Source organism: Homo sapiens, chromosome 20, assembly GCF_000001405.40.
Source record: "Homo sapiens chromosome 20, GRCh38.p14 Primary Assembly".
Taxonomy (NCBI): Eukaryota; Metazoa; Chordata; class Mammalia; order Primates; family Hominidae; genus Homo; species Homo sapiens.
Window position 1 is genome coordinate 53,694,979 of NC_000020.11, and position 19,728 is coordinate 53,714,706.

At 47.4% G+C, this 19,728-nt stretch overlaps 5 annotated features.

Moving 5' to 3' along the window:
- Nucleotides 3,598-3,798: a silencer, noted in NCBI's record as "peak4269 fragment used in MPRA reporter construct". NCBI's record gives its function as "represses an SCP1 promoter by STARR-seq MPRAs in K562 erythroleukemia cells {active_cell/tissue: K562}" and the evidence as "EXISTENCE:reporter gene assay evidence [ECO:0000049][PMID:32103011]".
- Nucleotides 13,025-13,074: an enhancer, noted in NCBI's record as "active region_18131". NCBI's record gives its function as "activates an Ori minimal core promoter by ATAC-STARR-seq in GM12878 lymphoblastoid cells {active_cell/tissue: GM12878}" and the evidence as "EXISTENCE:reporter gene assay evidence [ECO:0000049][PMID:35858748]".
- Nucleotides 16,335-17,236: an enhancer, noted in NCBI's record as "H3K27ac-H3K4me1 hESC enhancer chr20:52327852-52328753 (GRCh37/hg19 assembly coordinates)". NCBI's record gives its function as "activates a minimal SCP1, AML or CMV promoter by ChIP-STARR-seq in primed H9 embryonic stem cells {active_cell/tissue: H9 hESC(primed)}" and the evidence as "EXISTENCE:reporter gene assay evidence [ECO:0000049][PMID:30033119]".
- Nucleotides 17,237-18,137: an enhancer, noted in NCBI's record as "H3K27ac-H3K4me1 hESC enhancer chr20:52328754-52329654 (GRCh37/hg19 assembly coordinates)". NCBI's record gives its function as "activates a minimal SCP1, AML or CMV promoter by ChIP-STARR-seq in primed H9 embryonic stem cells {active_cell/tissue: H9 hESC(primed)}" and the evidence as "EXISTENCE:reporter gene assay evidence [ECO:0000049][PMID:30033119]".
- Nucleotides 18,138-19,039: an enhancer, noted in NCBI's record as "H3K27ac-H3K4me1 hESC enhancer chr20:52329655-52330556 (GRCh37/hg19 assembly coordinates)". NCBI's record gives its function as "activates a minimal SCP1, AML or CMV promoter by ChIP-STARR-seq in naive H9 embryonic stem cells {active_cell/tissue: H9 hESC(naive)}" and the evidence as "EXISTENCE:reporter gene assay evidence [ECO:0000049][PMID:30033119]".

Consider the following 19,728-nt stretch of genomic DNA (forward strand, 5'->3'; position numbering starts at 1 on the left):
TTGGGAGGCCGAGACAGGCGGATCACGAGGTCAGGAGATCGAGACCATCCTGGCTAACACGGTGAAACCCCGTATCTGCTAAAAATTCAAAAAAAAAAGTTAGCCGGGCATGCTCGTGAGCGCCTGTAGTCCCAGCTACTCGGGAGGCTGAGGCAGGAGAATGGCGTGAACCCGGGAGGCGGAGCTTGCAGTGAGCCGAGATCCTGCCACTGCACTCCAGCCTGGGCGACAGAGCGAGACTCTGGCTCAAAAAAAAAAAAAAAAAAAAAAAAGTCGAAGCTGTCTATTAAAAATAAATGATAGTAATAATCTAACGTGGTTCATGAGGAAATTTAAAAACAATAAGGCACCTGTAATTCCAGCACTTTAGGAGGCCGTGGAGGGTGGATCACTTGAGGTTAGGCGCTCAAGACCAGTCTGGCCAACATGGTGAAGCCCCATCTCAACTAAAAATACTAAAATTAGCAAGGTGTGGTGATGCACATCTGTAATCCCAGCTACTCAGGAGACTGAGGCAGAAGAATCACTTGAACCTGGATGTCAGATATTGCAGTGAGCTGAGCTCATACCACTGCACTCCAGCCTGGGCGACAGAGTGAGTGAGATTCCATCTCAAAAACAAAGAAACAAACAAACAAAACACACACAAAAAAAAAACCACACAAAAAAATAAGGCTCTTAGCAAAATAATAGCTAAGTGTTTTTATTTTATTTTATTTTAAAATTGTACCAAAACCATAGATGAAACTAAGTGTTTTTTTATATCTTCATTAAGTGACAATCAGTTTGTTTGTTTTGGTTTTTTTTTTTTTTAATTATTTAGGGATGGGAGTCTTCCCTTGTTGTCCAGACTGGTTTCAAACTCCTGGCCTCAAATGATCCTCACACCTCAGCCTCCCAAAGTGCTGAGATTACAGGCGTGGGCCACCACTCCCAGGCACCAATCACAGTTCTAAGAATTTTACATAGATCAACTTTGTTGAGTCCTCACCATTCTCATCCCACAGATGAGGAAACTGAGTCGCAGAGAGGCTAAATGCATTGTTCAGGGTCACATAGCTGGTTGTGAAGGTGGTGTGTGAATGGCAGGTTTGGAAAGGCCAGGTGTAGGGGCTACATTGTGGAATGCCCCCGGCTCATGATGACTACTTAACTTCCCTCTCCCCTCCTCTTTGCATGCAGTGGGCCCCCAGCTTCTGGCTTGTACTAAACACTCTGCTCTCCCAACTGTTATGGAATGAAACGGGAGCAAGACTTGATGCATACTGGGTAAATCTAACCCTGCCCTGAAAATTTGGAATAATTACTGAAGAAGATGTCATCTGCACAGTAGCACTGAAGTAAATCCAATTACTCAGGGGAGCCCTGGACGCCGTCATTTTCCTCAGATGCAGTCAATCTGCAGGAGAGAGAAGAACGAATACATGCAGAGAGAGGCAAAGTGGAGAGATGGGGTCTTCCTGAGCCCCAGTGTTTCCACTTCTTAGACCTGGTCCTTTCTCATCCACGTCAGGCTGCACCCCTCAACTTGTCTTTTGGTAACTGCCCCCATTCAACCTAAGCTAGCTGGGGTTGGTTTTTGCTTTACTTAATAAAAACATTTCTTTCTTTCTTTCTTTTTTTTTTTTTTTTTGAGACCGAGTCTCGCTCTGTCGCCCAGACTGGAGTGCAGTGGCACGATCTCGGCTCACTGCAACCTCCGCCTCCTGGGTTCAGGCCATTCTCCTGCCTCAGCCTCCCGAGTAGCTGGGACTACAGGCGCCTGCAACCACGCACGGCTAATTTTTTGTATTTTTAGTAGAGACGGGGTTTCACCATGTTGGTCAGGATGGTCTCGATCTCATGACCTTGTGATCTGCCCGCCTCGGCCTCCCAAAGTGCTGGGATTACAGGCGTGAGCCACCGCGCCCACCTAAAACATTTCAAAATAAGATACGCAAGCTCTATGTGGAAGCGAAAGGGGGAAGCAGGGAATTCAAGATCTACAAAAGGAGTTTTAGGAAGTGAAATGGGTATTCTCAAGAGTGGGTTGGCTGGGTGCAGTGGCTCATGCCTGTAATCTCAGCACTTTGGGAGGCCGAGGCTTGGGAATCGCTTGAGCCCAGGAGTTCGAGACCAGCCTGGGCAACTTAGCAAGACCTTATCTCTACAAATAATAAAAAAAATTAGCTGGGCGTGGTGGTGCACGCCTGTGGTCCCAACTACTTGGGGGGGCTGAGGTGGGAGGATTGCTTGAGCCCAGGAGGTTGAGGCTGCAGTGAGCTGAGATCGCACCACTGCCTTTCAGCCTGGGCGACAGAGCAAGATCTTGTCTTAGACAAAAAAAAAAAAAAGGAGGCCGGGTGCGGTGGCTTACGCCTGTAATCCCAGCACTTTGGGAGGCCCAGGCGGGCGGATCACTTGAGGTCGGGAGTTTGAGACCAGCCTGACAAACATGGAGAAACCTGTCTCTACTAAAAATACAAAAAGTTAGCCGGGTGTGGTGGCAGGCACCTGTAATCCCAGCTACTTGGGAGGCTGAGGCAGGAGAATCGCTTGAAACCAGGAGGCGGAGGTTGCAGTGAGCTGAGATCGTGCCATTGCACTCCAGCCTGGGTGACAAGACCAAAACTCCGTCTCAAAAGAAAGAAAAAAGAAAAGAAAAGAAAGAAAAAAGAAAGAGAGAGAGAGAGGGAGGAAAGGAAAGGAAAATAAAGGAAAAGAGGGGAGGGAAGGAAAGGAAAGGGAGAGGAGGGAGGGAAGGAGGGAAAGAAGGAAGGGAGGGAAAGAAAGAAAGGAAAGAAATAGGCCGGGCACGGTGGATCACACCTGTAGTCCCAGCACTTTGGGAGGCCAAGGCGGCGGATCACAAGGTCAGGAGTTCAAGACCAGCCTGGCCAGCATGGTGAAACCCCCGTCTCTACTAAAAATACAAAAAATTAGCCGGGCATGGTGGTGTGTGCCTGTAATCTCAGCTACTCGGGAGGCTGAGGCAAGAGAATTGCTTGAACCCAGGAGGCAGAGGTTGCAGTAAGCCGAGATCAGCCACTGCACTCCAGCCTTAGGGATAGAGCGAGACTCCATCTCAAAAAAAAAAAAAAAAGGGAAAGAAGTTAGGAAGTTGATACTATTTCAGACTGTAGAGTCTGGTTATTTTCCCAGGTCAGGCTGGCTGAGCAGAGTGAACTTGTCTCTCCAGGGGTCCCACTTTAGCATCATTTCACATGTACTAGGGCTTGCGGCGTGGGCTATCTAGAGCCAAATAGAGATCTAGAGCCAAAGAGAGTGCATTTTCTGTCAAACTCATAAGAAAGAGGAATGGTCAGCATCTGAAAGTTCCTTTTTTTTTTTTTTTTGAGACGGAGTCTCGCTCTGTGGCCCAGGCTTCAGAGCAGTGGCGAGATCTCAGCTCACTGTAACCTCTACCTCCTGGGTTCAAGCAATTCTCCTGCCTCAGCCTCCTGAGTAGCTGGGATTACAGGCGCGTGCCACTACGCCCGGCTAATCTTTGTATTTTTAGTAACAACAGGGTTTCACCATGTTGGTCAGTTTGGTCTGGAACTCCTGACCTTGTGATTTGCCTGCCTTAGCCTCCCAAAGGGTTGGAATTACAGGCATGAGCCACCGCGCCCGGCAAGAGTTCTTATACCTCAAGCCCACCATAGTTAAGAACTCAGGCTCTGGAATCTAAGATGTCCAGGTTCAAGTCCCAGCCCTGCTACCCCTTGCTAACTGTCACCACTTAGACAGTTGATTTAACCTCTTTGAGCTCTAACTTCCTCATCTGTAAAATGACCAAATCCATTTCTTTTTGTTTTCTATTTTACTAATTTTTACATTTCGGTGTATTCATCCCTTCTATTCTTTCCTATATTTCATTATGATTCTCCTTTTTTTGTTTGTTTTGTTTTGTTTTGTGATGGAGTTTCGCTCTTGTTGTCCAGGCTGGAGTGCAATGGCACGATCTCAGCTCACTGCAACCTCTGCCTCCTGGGTTCAAGCAATTCTCCTGCCTCAGCCTCCCAAGTAGCTGGGATTACAGGCACCCGCCACCACGCCCGGCTAATTTTTTGTATTTGTAGTAGAGACGGGGTTTCACCATGTTGGTCAGGCTGGTTTCTTTCTTTCCTTTTTTTCTTTCTTTCATCTTTTATTCTCTGTTAGCCAAGGCTGGAGTACAGTGGCACAATCATAGCTTACTGCAGCCTCAAATTCCTGGGCTCAAGAGATCCTCTCACCTCAGCCTGTCAAGTATCTAGCTCACGTTTTATTTATTCATTTATTTATTTTAGAGATGGGGTCTCACTATGTTGCCCTGGTTGGTCTCCAACTCCTGGACTTAAGGGGTTCTCCTGGCTCACTCTTTTCAGTTGCTGAAATTACAGGTGTGAGCCACCGTGCCCAGGGAGCATTTCCACACATAAAGGAACAATCTGGGACTGTCAGTTAACCTCCTGAACTAATAGGGTGACCACGTGGTTCCAGTTGGTCTGGGACTTTCCTGGTTTTAGCACTAAAATTCTCATGTTCTGGGAAAACCCTCAGTTCTGAGCAAACTGGAATGGTTGGCCACCTTACCAGGTTGTCCTTAATGCTTGGAAATTCCAGAACATTCTGATGATAGAATGATCCAGTGATGCCCAAATGCAGAGTAAGAAAGAAGGACATCCACATACCTGAAGCACCAATTGCAAATGAGGATACCTCATCCTGCTTCAGACTGACAAAAAATTTACTGGGATGTGGCCCAAGAATGTGTATTTCTCCCAGGGGATTTTTATGTGTACTCAAGTTTAGGAGAACCAAAGTTCTCAAATTGTAGATGGCAGCCCAAGACAGAGGTCCTGATAACAGCCACTGTAGTCAGGTGTAGGAGAGAAGAGAGGAGAGGAAAAACCCTGGGCGTTGGAGCTGAGCTGGCACCTGACTTCCCATTTATTTCTGGGTAATAAATGACCTCCTGAAGGCTCAGTTTTTTAATGTATTAAATGGGGATAATTAAAGGCTATAATATGTGTAAAGCCCCTGACATCCAGTAAGTGTCTGATAAATTTTAGTTCCCCTTCCTTAGACTTTGATGCAGAATTGCAAGAACTGGCCATAAAAAGCAATTCTGCACATGGAAAAACTACTTTTCAGAATATTTCCTCATTAGGACCTCAGTTTCAAAACCTCCCAGGAAGTATCTTTTAGACATTAACATCTGAAAAATACAATAAAGAGTTGCTCTGTTTCTTTCCAGATGGCTTCTCTTTATGGCTTGGCTGTTGGGAAGTTCAAAGTCAAATACTGAAAATCTAATCATTTAAAAGCCACTCTTTTTTTTTTTTTTTTTTGAGACAGAGTCTTGCTCTGTCACCCAGGCTGGAGTGCAGTGGCGCAATCTCGGCTCACTGCAACCACTGCCTCCCGAGTTCAAGCAAGTCTTGTGCCTCAGTTTCCCAAGTAGTTGGGACTACAGGCGTGCACCACCATGCCTGGCTAATTTTTGTATTTTTAGTAGAGACAGGGTTTTGCCATATTGGCCAGGTTGGTCTTAAACTCCTAGGCTCAAGCGATCCTCCTGCCTCGGCCTCCCAAAGTGCTGGGAATACAGGCACGAGCCACTGTCCTCAGCTGAAGTGTTTTATTGCATACATATTATTGATTTCTTTCTTTCTTTCTTTTTTGTGATGGAGTCTCGCTCTGTTGTCCAGGCTGGAGTGCAGTGGCGCGATTTCTGCTCACTGCAAGCTCTGCCTCCCGGGTTCACGCCATTCTCCTGCCTCAGCCTCCTGAGTAGCTGAGACTACAGGCGCCCGCCACCACACCTGGCTAATTTTTTGTACTTTTAGTAGAGACGGGGTTTCACCATGTTAGTCAGGATGGTCTCGATCTCCTGAGCTTGTGATCCACCCGCCTTGGCCTCCCAAAGTGCTGGGATTACAGGCGTGAGCCACCACGCCCAGCCCTATTATTGATTTCTTTCAACGTTTTATTTTGTAATCACTATAGTTTCACAGGAAGTTGTAAAGACTGCAGAGAAGTCTCATGTATCCTCCATCTAGTTTCCCCCAGTGGTTACATCTTATAAACGGTAGTACGGTGCCAACACCAGGAAATTGGCAGTCCTACAATGAGTGCGTGTAGAGTTCTATATCATTTTGTCACATGTGTAGATTCATGTAACCACCACCACAATCAAGATACAGAGCTGTGCCATTACCACAGAGATCTTCCCCAACTTATCCACTTCTAGTTAGCCACACTCTCTCTCCTCTTCACCATCGCAACCCCTGGCAGCCACTTACCTATTCTTTGTCTTTATAATTTTTTGTCATTTTTGAGAATGTTATATAAATGGAAGCCTACAGTGTATGACCTTTTGAGATTGGCTTTTTACTTTTTATTTGTTTACTTTTAAGACAGGGTCTGGCTCTGTCACCCAGGCTGGGGTACAGTGGCATGCTCTTGGCTCACCGCAACCTTTGCTTCCAGGGCTCAAGCGATCCTCCCACCACCTCAGCCTCCCGAGTAGCTAGGACCACAGGCTCAAGTCACCACTAATTTTTTTGTATTTTTTGTAGAGACGGGGTCTTGTCGTGTTGCCCATGGCTGGTCTTCAACTCCTGAGCTCAAAGCGATCCGCCCACGTCCGCCTCCCAAAGTGTTGGGATTATAGGCATGAGCCACTGCGCCCAGCCGGGTGGCTTTTTTCTCTTCAATATGCCCTTGAGGTCCATCCAAATTGCGGCATGCGTCCACAGTTCATTCCTTCCCATTGCCAGGAGTTTTCCTCATATTATATTATAAGCAATAATATATTATTTTCATTTAAATCACTCTAAAGTAAGTAAAAAATGGAGCTATAAAGACAATGTTTTACTGAAAAAGCTACTCATGGCTTTATGCTGCTCAGGTACTGACTTGTCTGATCCTTAAAACAGGCCTGCGGCCGGGCACAGTGGCTCACGCCTGTAACCCAGCACTTTGGCAGGCCGAGGTGGGCGGATCACCTGCTGTCAGGAGTTTGAGACTAGCCTGCCCAACATGGCGAAACCCCGTCTCTACTAAAAATACAAAAAAATTAGCCAGGCGTGGTGGCATGAACCTATAATCCCAGCTACTCGGGAGGGTGAAGCAGGAGAGTCGCTTGAACCCAGGAGGCGGAGGTTGCAGTGAGCCGAGATCACACCACTGCACTCCAGCCTGGGGACAAGAGCGAAACTCCGTCTAAAGAAAAAAAAAAAAAAAAAGGCCGGGCGCGGTGGCTCACGCCTGTAACCCAGCACTTTGGCAGGCCGAGGCGGACGGACCACCACGAGGTCAGGAGATCGAAACCATCCTGGCTAACACGGTGAAACCCCGTCTCTACTAAAATAATACAAAAAAATTAGCCGGGCGTGGTGGCGGGCGCCTGTAAGTCCCAGCTACTCAGGAGGCCGAGGCAGGAGAATGGCGTGAACCTGGGAGGCGGAGCTTGCAGTGAGCCGAGATCGCGCCACTGCGCTCCAGTCTGGGCGACACAGCAAGTCTCCGTCTCAAACAAAACAAAACAAAACAAAACAAAAAAACCCCAGCAAGTCTTCGAATAGAATAGCAGACATTGCAGAACCATGGCGAGTGGAAACAAGATGAAATATGTCAACCTTTAGGGTATTACCTGTGTTCTTAAATAAAATAGGGCAGATTCAGTGTTTATAAATAGTGGGGGGGTGAGGGGGCGGGTGTGGTGGCTCATGCTTGTATCCCAGCATTTGGGAGGCTGAGGCTGGCGGATCACTTGATGCTAGGAGTTTGAGACCAGCCAGGCAACATGGTGAAACCCCATCTCTACTAAAAATACAAATATTAGCCAGGCGTGGTGGCGCATGCCTGTAGCCCCAGTTACTCGAGAGGCTGAGGCAGGAGAATCATTTGAACCCAGAAAATGGTGGCTGCAGTGAGCTGAAATCGTACCACTGCACTCTAGTCTGGGCGACAGAGCAAGACTCCATACATTTTTGTAGTTTCTTATGTATTTATTTATTTGAGACGGGGTGTTGCTCCGTCGCCCAGGGTGCAGTGCAATGGTACAGTCATGGTTCACTGCAGCCTCCGTCTCCCAAGCTCAAGTGATCTGCCCGCCTCACCCTCCTGAGTAACTGAGAACTCAGGTGTACAGCATCAAACCAGGCTATTATTATTATTATTATTATTATTATTATTATTATTATTATTGAGCCAGAGTCTCTCTCTGTCGACCAGGCTAGAGTGCAGTTGTGTGATCTTGGTTCACTGCAACCTTTGCCTCCCGGGTTCAAGCAACTCTCCTGCCTTAGCCTCCCAAGTAGCTGGGATTGCAGGCACATGCCAACACGCCCGGCTAATTTTTTGTATTTTTAGTAGAAACAGGGTTTCATCATGTTAGCCAGGCTGGTCTCGAACTCCTGACCTCAGATGATCCGCCTGCCTCGGCCTCCCAAAGTGCTGGGATTACAGGCATGAGTCACTGCGCCCGGCCCACTAAGCATGATCTTAAGCCTTAATGTTGTAGCACATATCAGAAGTTTACTTTTTAAATTTTTTATTATTTATTTATTTATTTATTGAGACGGAGTCTTTTGCTTTTGTCACCCAGGCTGGAGTGCAATGGCACAATCTTGGCTCACTGCAACCTCCACCTCCCAGGTTCAAGCCATTCTCCTGCCTCAGCCTCCCAAGTAGCTGGGATTATAGGCGGGTGCCACCAGGCCCAGCTAATTTTTTTTGTATTTTTAGTAGAGATGGGGTTTCACCATGTTGGTCAGGCCGGTGTTGAACTCCTGACCTCTAGTGATCCACCTGCCTCGGCCTCCCAAAGTGCTGGGATTACAGGCGTGAGCTGGCCTATTTATTTTTTTGAGATGGAGTCTTGCTCTGTCGCCCAGGCTGGAGTGCAGTGGCACAATCTCGGCTCACTGCAACTTCCGCCTCCCGGGTTCAAGCAATTCTCCGGCCTCAGCATCCTGAGTAGCTGGTACGACAGGTGCGTGCCACCACATCCAGCTAATTTTTGTATTTTTAGTAGAGACGGGGGTCTACCATGTTGGCCAGGCTGGTCTCCAACTCCTGACTTCAAGTGACCCGCCCGCGTTGGCCTCCCAAAATGATGGGATTACAGCTGTAAGCTATAGCGCCCGGGGTGTTTTTTATTTCATTTTATTTGTTTTATTTTATTTTTTGTAGAGATGAAGTCTTGTTATGTTGCTGAGGCTGATCTTAAACTTCTGGTCTCATGTGATCCTCCTGCCTCAGCCTCCCAAAGTGCTGGGATTACAGGCATAAGCCCCTGCATCCAGCCTGTTCATTTCTTTTCTTTCTTATTTTATTTTATTATTATTTTTTTTTGAGACGGAGTCTCGCTCTGTCGCCCAGGCTGGAGTGCAGTGGCCCAATCTTGGCTCACTGCAAGCTCCGCCTCCCGGGTTCACGCCATTCTCCTGCCTCAGCCTCTGGAGTAGCTGGGACTACAGGCGCCCGCCACCGCACCCGGCTAATTTTTGTATTTTTAGTAGAGACAGGGTTTCACCGTGTTGGCCAGGATGGTCTCGATCTCCTGAGCTTGTGATCCGCCTGCCTCTGCCTCCCAAAGTGCTGGGATTACAGGTGTGAGCCACCCCGCCTGGCCTGTTCATTTCTTTTAAAAACTGGATATGGCCAGGCGCGGTGGCTCATGCCTGTAATCCCAGCACTTTGGGAGGCCGAGGAGGACAGATCACGAGGTCAGGAGACGGAGACCATCCTGGCCAACATGGTGAAACCCCGTCTCTACTAAAAATACAAAAATCAGCCGGGCGTGGTGGCGTGTGCCTGTAATCCCAGCTACTCGGGAGGCTGAGGCAGGAGAATGGCTTGAACCAGGGAGTCGGAGGATGCAGTGAGCCGAGATTGCCCTGCTGTACTCCAGCCTGGCAACAGAGCGAGACTCCGTGTCAAACAAAAACAAAAACAAAACAAAAACTGGATACTATTCCACTGCATGGACGTACAACATCTTGTTTATCCGTTCATCCCTTGATGGAATTTGGGTTGCTTCCATATTTTAGGTATTGCGTGTAGTGTTGCTATGAACATGGCTGCACAAATATCTGTTTGCTTTCCTGTTTTCAATTTTTTTTTTTTTTTTTACCTAGGAGTGGGATTGTTGGATCATATGATAATGCTATGCTTAACTTTTTGAGGCACTGCCAGAATTCCAAAAAGGAGAAGAAGGAAGCAAATAAAAAGAAACCATAACAAACCTCACATTCTGGCTTAGAATAGATATGTGCACCAATTATATTTTTCCCCTCTCCTACCAAGCCTTCCATCTGTAATTCTGCTAGTTAATATTCAGAGAGAGAGACTTAGGAAAATATAGTTTGGAGTTTTCTTTGAAGGCAAGTCTTCCCTTTAGAAGTCCTGATAAAATAAAATTTCTCTATAACTTTTTGTATTTTTATTTTATTTAATTAATTTATTTATTTTTGAGACGGAGTTTCACTCTTGTTGCCCAGGCTGGTGTGCAGTGGTGCAATCTCAGCTCACCGCAACCTCCGCCTCCCAGGTTCAAGCATTTCTCCTGCCTCAGCCTCCGGAGTAACTGGGATTACAGGCATGCGCCACCATACTTGGCTAATTTTTTGTATTTTTAGTAGAGACAGGGTTTCTCCATGTTGGTCAGGCTGGTCTCGAACTCCCGACCACAGGTGATTCACCCGCCTCGGCCTCCCAAAGTGCTGGAATTACAGGCGTGAGCCACTGCGCCCGGCCTTTGATTTTCTTCTTATTATTATTTTGAGACAAAGTCTCGCTCTGTTGCCCAGGTTGGAGTGTAGTGTCATGATCCCAGCTCACTGCAACCTCCTCCTTCTGGGTTCAAGCGATTCTCCTGCCTCAGCCACCCGAGTAGCTGGGATTACAGGCGCCCGCCACCACACCCAGCTAATTTTTGTATTTTTAGTAGAGACAGGGTTTCACCATGTTGGCCAGGCTGGTCTTGAACTCCTGACCTCAAGTGATCCACCCACCTTGGCCTCCCAAAGTGCTTGGATTATAAGCGTGAGCCACCATGCCTGGCCAAACTTTCGTATTTTTAAATCATGCTTGACACTGAAGCCAAAATAAGTTCCTTTTCTGGGTGTATTTTTATTGTAATGTCCAAGGATACACATGAATAACTGCACATAATTGTAGGCTAGACCAATATTAGGCAAGCTGCATTCATACATCTCTTTCCTCAAGGCTGTGTTTGCTTGAATTTTCAAATTCTTGGTCACAATGAGTAAGTCAATTTTCCTCATGCGACTTCACCTTACAAGCAGGTAAGTTCTTAACTATATGCAACATTTGATTTCACCACATGTATGACTTTTCTAAGATTGTAACTCAGGCACCAAGGCATCATCAATTGAGGATAAAATTCTTTTGGAAACTCAAAATATTTCAGGAATCTTAAATATTCTACTTACAGATGGGATAAAATGTGTTCTCTGTCCATGGAACCAGAACATGTGGTGAGCACAATTCCCTGAAAAATAAAAATAAAAAACCCACCCTGTCTCTACATTCTGTGCATTTTGCTGTCTGTATGTTCTTGAATTGAAAGATCCTCTCTACCAGTTCTGAGAAGCAATTTGTTATTTTCCTCTAAACCCCTCGGTTGTGGCGAGACTTTCCTCCCAGCTGAATCGGTCTGCTGCAAGAATGTACTTGCGTGATACTTAATCCCTTAGTGGGAGCCCAGATAGAGTTTCTTGCCAGAACTAGAGATTGCCCCTTTTACAAATTCCCCTTTCTAAGCAAGCTATGATAACCCACATTTGGGGCCTGCAACATCCTTTCAGTGCATTTTTAAACAAGAGAAAAGGGCTCCATCTTGTATCATAAATTACAGTAACATCCTTTCTAACCACAGAGGTGCAGTTCACATGAGCAGAAACAGTCTATTTCAGGATCTCATGGGTAAGCTGTATACCCATGAACAACTGTATAAAGTAACTGTTTATAACTCCTAGACCAGTGGCACTCTGGTTAACTGGTTCTAGTGGGTGGAGGCAGAGGAGTCTTGGTTGTGTTTGTCAGTTTCCACGGTGTAAATATTCCCACCATGTCTAATTTTAGACTGCAGTCTGTGAGGATAGAGTTGAAAAGACATGTGCAAAATCAGCTTTCCAGAGCCAGTACAAAGAGTTCTGATGCACCACATTCTCAAACCTTCCTTTGACTTGAGACCCAGAACCGAAATCTCTTGAAACAGCAGCATCCTATTCTTTCTTGGACAAAGTTAACAAAAATGAGGTTTTGTTACAACCATGATATCTTGTCTCCATCACAAAACCCCAGAGGCCTTGCTAATTCTTTCCAAGTAACAGAATTTACCTAAATTGTGCCAAAGTTAATATTAAACCTCAATCACTGTTCTGACCCAGGGCATAAACATCCTGAGAAATCAAATGCTTTTTTGTATTAAATACATGTGTACGCACACACACAAGCTCACACACACATGCGCACACATACACACACAAACACAAGCACACACATATATACAAGCACACACACACACAAACACATACACACAAGCACACACATATATACAAGCGCACACATACACATGCACACAGGCTCAAACACACACATGCACATACACGTACACATGCATTCACACATTTACATACACATATACACAGGCACACAATACACACCTGCACACATACACACACATATACACACACAAAGCATCTCATTAGTGACTCCCTGCTGTGAAAGGAATTTTATTTAAAAATAATTGTCACATGTACTTTAGGACTTGTAATTATTTTAACAAAATGTTCTTGTCATGTTGATGACATTCTAATGACATGTTATTGGTATTTTTGTTCTCCAAATGCGAATGTTTCCCAGGAAACTGACCAGTGGGAAGGAAGGTGGGTGGGGAAGTGAAAGTGTGTCAGAAACTGCAAGTTAGAGTTCTGCTTAACTCAGTTTAAGTTCTAGGGTGACTAACATTTTCTAGGGAGGAAGAGCGTTCTGGTTTCTTAGGAGTAACTGCAAACCCCTTCTCTGGGATCCTCTGAGCTTCCTCTGCATCCTGAGCAAATGCTTGTGACACAGAGTTGGTGCTTTTGATTTCTTTATCTGATTATCCTATTAGATCAGGCTCTTCATCAAGTAGCTGGCTTCTTTATCTCTTTAACACTCTCCAGTGTCCAGAAAAGTACCTGAATTTGTGTGTGGAACAAGTGACATGACTTATTTTCAAAATGAAAATGATACCATTGAGATTTCAAGATTCAAATGAGCTCATATTTTTTATGAATTCATCCTATGCAATTCAGCCCCTTTTAAGGTCTCTACCGTGGCAGCCAACTCTGTTGAAAGTAGCATGGGAGAGAGTGGTTTTTGCAGATGGCTCAAGCAAATGACAAGGGGGTGATGTGTGGGTTAAAGGCAGCAGGTTAATAGTGTGGGCAGAGAGAGGAATGTGGAACGGAATCACAGCTTTGTTGTGGCACTGAATCGCTGTGAGCATTGGTTTGCTCAGCTGTAAACTAGGCTCACATCTAAAGCCTAAAGACGTTGTAAAGATTAAATGAGATAATACGCATGGAAGGCTTAACAGGCTGACTGGTCCAGGGTCATTTTCACTCAACAAATGTAGTTCCTGTCCCTGCCTTCCTCCCTCCACCAACTACCTCTTTTTTTTCAGTTAAGTGTGTTTTTAAAAATTGTGGTAAAATATACGAGACAAAAATCTACCAGTCTGACCATCCTCCCCTCCCCTCCCCTCCCCTCCCCTCCCCTGTCTTCTTTTCTTTCTTTTTTTTAACAGGGTTTCACTTTGTTGCCCAGGCTAAAGTGCAGTGGCATAGTGACAGCTCACTGCAGCTTTGACCTCCCCAGGCTCAAGCCATCCTCCCATCCTAGCCTCCAGAGTAGCTGGCACTACAGGCATGTACCACCATGCCCAGCTAATTTTTCTATTTTTTTTTTTTTTTTGTAGAGATGGGGTCTTGCTATGTTGCTCAGGCTGATCTCTCAAACTCCTGGGCTCAAGCAATCCTCCCACCTCAGCCTCCCAAAATGTTGGGATTACAGGCATGAGCTACCATGCATGGCCTCATTGTAACCATTTTTCAAGGCATGGTTCAGTGACAGTAAGTACATTCACCTCATTGTGCACCCACCACCACCATCCATCTCCAGAACTTTTTCATTATTCCAAACTGAAATGCCATCCCTGTTAAACACTAACTCCCCGGCCAGGCATGGTGGCTCAGGCCTGTAATCCCAGCACTTTGGGAGGCCGAGGTGGATGGATCACAAGGTCAGGAGTTTGAGACCAGCCTGGCCAATGTGGTGAAACCCCGTCTCTACAAAAAATACACAAATTAGCCAGGCGTGGTGGCGTGCACCTATAGTCCCAGCTACTTGGGAGGCTGAGGCAGGAGAATTGCTTGGACCCAGTAGGCGGAGGTTGCAGTGAGCTGAGATCGCGCCACTGCACTCCAGCCTGGCTGACAGAGCAAGACTCTGTCTCAAGAAAAACAAAACAAAACAAAAAAAACACACTAACTCCCATCCGCCCCTTTCCCACCTCCTGGCAACCTCCACTCTACTTTCCGTCTCTATACATTTCACTATTCTAGGTATCTCATATAAGTGGAACCATACAATATTCATATTTGTCCTTTTGTGTCTCGCCTCATGCACTTAGCATAATGTCCTCAAAATTCATCCATGTTGAGGCATATATCAGTATTCCCCTTTTTTTTTTTTTTTTTGAGACCGGCTCTCACTCTGTTGCCCAGGCTGGAGTGCAGTGACACAATCACAGATCACTGCAGCCTCGACCTCCCGAGCTCAGGGCTCAGGCAATCCTCCCACCTCAGCCTCCCAAGTAGCTGGGACCACAGATGCACACTGCTACATCTGGCTAATATTTCCTATTATTTTTGTAGAAGGGGATCTCCCTGTGTTGCCCAGGCTGGTCTTGAACTCCTGAGCGCGAGTGATCCTTCTTGGCCTCCCAAAGTGATGGGATTATAGGCGTGCCACCACACCCAGCCCAGAATTCTATTTTTTAAGGTGGAATAATATTCCATTGCATGTATATATTACATTGTGTTAATCTGTTCATCTGATGATGTACATTTGAGTTATTTCCACATTTTCACTATTGTGAATAATGCTGTGGTGAGTCCTGGTGTACCAATATCTGTTTGAGCCACCTCCTTTTTCAAAAGTGTGTTTGACAGTCTTGGACTCCATTCTTTTTTTTTTTTTGAGATGGAGTCTCGCCCTGTCGCCCAGGCTGGAGTGCAGTGGCGTGATCTCGGCTCACTGCAACCTCTGCCTCCCGGGTTCATGCCATTCTCCTGCCTCAATCTCCTGAGTAGCTGGGACTACAGGCGCCTGCCACCACGCCCGGCTAACTTTTTATATTTTTAGCAGAGATGGGGTTTCACCGTGTTAGCCAGGATGGTCTCGATCTCCTGACCTTGTGATCCGCCTGCCTCGGCCTCCCAAAGTGCTGGGATTACAGGCGCGAGCCACTGCACCCGGCCTTGGACTCCATTCTTACCTAAGACATTGATGGTATGTGTTCCAGAACAGCCTCCAATCTCCCTCCTTAGGATTCCTTGAGTCCAGGAGTTCGAGACCAACCTGACCAACATAGCGAGACCCTGTTTCTACAAAAAATAAAAAATTAGCCAGGCCAGGCACGGTGGCTCACGCCTGTAATCCCAGCACTTTGGGAGGCCGAGGTGGGTGGATCACCCAAGGTCAGGAGTTCGAGATCAGCCTGGCCAACATGGTGAAACCCCATCTCTACTAAAAATACAAAAATTAGCCAGGTGTGGTGGCATGCGCCTGTAATCTCAGATACTCAGCAGGCTGAGGCAGGAGAATTGCTCGAACCCTGGAGGTGGAGGCTGCAGTGAGCCGAGATTGTGCCACTGCACTCCAGCCTGTATGACAGAGTGCGACTTCTTCTCAAAAAAACAAAAATAAATAAAATACATAAAATGAGCCGGGCATGGTGATGCATGCATATAGTCCCAGCTACTCGGGAGGACTGAGGTGAGAGGAGGATTGCTTGAGCTCAGGAGGTCGAGGCTGCAGTGAGCTATGATTATGCCACTATAATCCAGCCTGGGTGACAGAATGAAATCCTGTCTCCAAAAAAAAAAAGAAAAGAAAAATCCAGAAAACCCCAACCCACCCTTTTCCAAGAGGGCTTCCCTGTTTCCCTTACCTAAAATGGCCCCCCTCTGTTATTCTCTAGCCCTTGATTCAGCTTCAGTTTTCTCATGAGAATTACCAGCATCTTATGGTAACGGATTGCAACGGGGTAGACCCCATCTAAATAACAGAAAATATTAGCCTGGTGTAGCAGTGTGTGCCTGTGGTCCCAGCTACTTGGGAGGCTGAGGTGGGAGGACTACCTGAGCCCTGAGCCCAGGAGGTCGAGGCTGCAGTGACCTCTGATTGTGTCACTACATTCCAGCCTGGGCAACAGAGCAAATTATAAATATTGATTTGTTTATTAACTGTCTCCATGGACTACTCTGTCAGATCAAGGAGGAAGGGCAGGAACTTAGCTGTAGCTGTATTCCAGTGACTAAAACAGTGCCTGGTATACAGTAGGTGCTCAACAAAAACATATTTAATGACTGTGCAGCATCTGGTTGCCTTACCTCTGCTTGTCTGCTACCCACTCAACCTGAACCACTGCTGGGGACACACACAGCCTAGTGCAGAAACATGTCTCTAGGTCTGGGAAGGAACTCATAAGCAGCCCTTTACCAGAGTCTGCTGACAAACACCAGTGTGAGGGCGTCTGCAGCCAGTGTGGCGAGCCACATCCTCGAGTTGTTTGGGATTCTGGAACAATCCAGGTGGTGAATGCTGATTCTGGCCTTGCCCTTCCCGGGGCTTGGTCTGACACATGACCCTGATCCCTAAGGTTCAGGGTGAGCTCTGGCTCACACGTGCCAACAGAGGTGAGTAAGGCTCGGAGAGGACAGTGCATGACACACGACAACCATGTTTTAAAACAAACCAGTTTCACTCACTTGCTCCTCATTGTTTTATGTAAAAACATTGCCTCATGGCGTCCACTGGTTCCACAGCCCGCCTGCTTCATTCCTGATACATGCGTTTGAAGAACTTGAAGTTTTCCTCCCTCCTTCCCTTCCTTCCTTCTTCCCTCCCTACTTCCCTCCCTCCTTCCTTCCCTCCCTTCCTTCCTTCCTTCCCTCCCTCCCTCTCTCCCTGTTTTCAGGAGCATCACAATGACCCTCAACTGAGTGTTATGTCCAAACAGGCTGCAGCTGGCCAAGCTGCCTCCTTCAGGCATTTAGCAAAACAGAAAGCCCCGGGAGCAGGCTGGAAATGGAAAGCGGGCCCCAGGGTACTTTACTTAACCCTTCAGGCACTTTGAGGTTAAAAGCGCCAACATGAATGCCCTTCGCCAACTCAAAATTGTATCATTTGGCAGCATTCCCACTAGTTCGTGCAGGTAAGAAATGAATGGTCTGCTTGCTTGGCAGCGAGCTGCGTGAACTTGGGCAGGTCACTTAACTCCTGTGAGCCCTGGTGTCTTCATTTTTAAAACAAAGCAGCTGAATCACTAACAACCACAACAAACTGACAAAGTATCTTGAGCGTGGATGTAACATCCATCAGCTTGAATTCCACTGAACTCACTCTGGAAAGGGGTTTTGCGGGAGAACTCAGGTGTCCTGTGGTGTCTCAGTTTTCCTCTGATGTCCTCAGATTGGTGATTGCAAAATCCACCAGAGTTGCTGGAAACCAGGCGTCTGTGACGCGGAGGTGAGGAAAGAAGAGGGCAGGTTACCGTAAAGCAGTGGCCGATTCCAAGGCTGGTCAACATGCTGAAACCCCGTCTCTACTAAAATACAAAAATTAGCCAGGCGTGGAGGCCTGGTTTGGCAGTGTCTGGAGACATGTTGGTTTTCCCAATGTGGGGAGGATCACCATGGGTCATCTAGCGGGTGAAGGTGCTGAGATGCTGCACAATAGACAACGCACAAAGCAATCCCCACAAAGAATTACCCAGCTCCAAATGTGCACGTGCTTGAGAGACTCTGCCTTTCTGGGGGCTGGGGTGAGCCAGGCTGCGAATGCTCCCTTTCTCTCACTAGCCGGCACCCACGATGGGACTTTAGCTTAGGGACCAGATCCTGGGCCAGGATTTTGATTTTTATTTTATTTATTTATTTATTTTTGAGATGGAGTTTCGCTCTTGTTGCTCAGGCTGGAGTGCAATGGCGCAGTCTCGGCTCGCTGCAACCTCCGCCTCAGGGGTTCAAGCAATTCTCCTGCCTCAGCCTCCGGAGTAGCCACCACCATGCCTGGGGCAGGATTCTGCACCAATTCTTCCCCAAACCCAGGTCCCCTCCTTCCTGCAGCCCCTTCCCCTCCCAGGGAGCCTGCCTGTCAACCCCAGTGAGTCCCTCGGGTCTAGTTGTGTTTGCTGGACTTCATTCATGCACTCAACAAACACTGAGCACCCCTCTGCACCTGATCCTGCCATCGGCAGCAGGGGACAATGATGACCATGACAGGGGACCATTGCCCTTGCTTGCTATAACCTTCCCCAAATGGGATAAAGAGGAATCCCCCGCACCAGGTGGACCAGGGCTGTGGGTGGACAAGGGCTCCTGCGCAGAACCATCAAATTCTTCCTTTCAACCCCAGCCCAAGGTGGGTCCTGGTGCTTCCCATAGTACCAAGTGTGCCTGGCAGAGGTGGAGAAAACTCCCAGGGGTCGGGGAGACACTGGGACCCCTGAAACGCCCCTCCCCTCTGCCTTGTGCGGAGTGGTCCCCAGTCACCTGGCTTGTACTAAAGACCCAGCACCTCCAACTACTGTGGAATGCGACAGGTCAGGTGAGAATGACGAAAGCTGAGCAGCGGAGCTGGGGGAGGGGATTGCACCACAGACCCCTCAACTCCCACACCCGCCCTCGGCCTTTCTTCCGCACAAGCTCCTCTTGTCCGCTGTGCTCTTCTCCTCGCCCTCCTTCTCTTCTTCCACAGGTGTCCCAGAGGCGCTGGCTCCACTTCCCTCCTTCACGTTTTTCCCTCTTAACTCTCTTCCCTGGTCTCTATCTCCAGAGATCTGAATTTCCTTATTTTCTTTCTTTTTTTTTTCTGGGACAGTCTCTGTCGCCCAGATTGGAGTGTAGTGGCGCAATCTGCAACCATCGCCTCCCCGGTTCAAGCGATTCTCCTGCCTCAGCCTCCTGAGTAGCACGGATTACGGGCACGCGTCTCCACACCCAGCTAATTTTTGTATTTTAGTAGAGACGGGGTTTCACCATGTTGGCCCGGCTGGTCTTGAACTTCTGACTTGAGGTGATCCACCCGCCTCGGCCTCCCAAAGTCCGAGGCGGGTGGATCACCTGAGCCACATCGCCTGGCCTCTGAATTTCTTTCTTGCCTTAGGCAGAGCAGCTTAGAGGCCAGTTTCTCTAGGGGTCGCCTGAAGCCATCTTTGCTTCCCACTCTGCAGACCTCCCAGCTGCCCAGGCTGCCTGTTCTTCCTTCAAAATCTATTTCCTATTGGTTTCCTCCTCCCATTACCCTGATCCCACCTGGTGCTGGCAAAAACTTCCTTGGCCAACTTCCAGCACCAGCCTAAGGATGCCATGGTCCTCTTCCTGGAAGCCCAGCCATTCATTCTGCAGCAGTGCATTCTAAGGGTGCTGGCTCTGGAGGCAGACGAACTAAACAGCG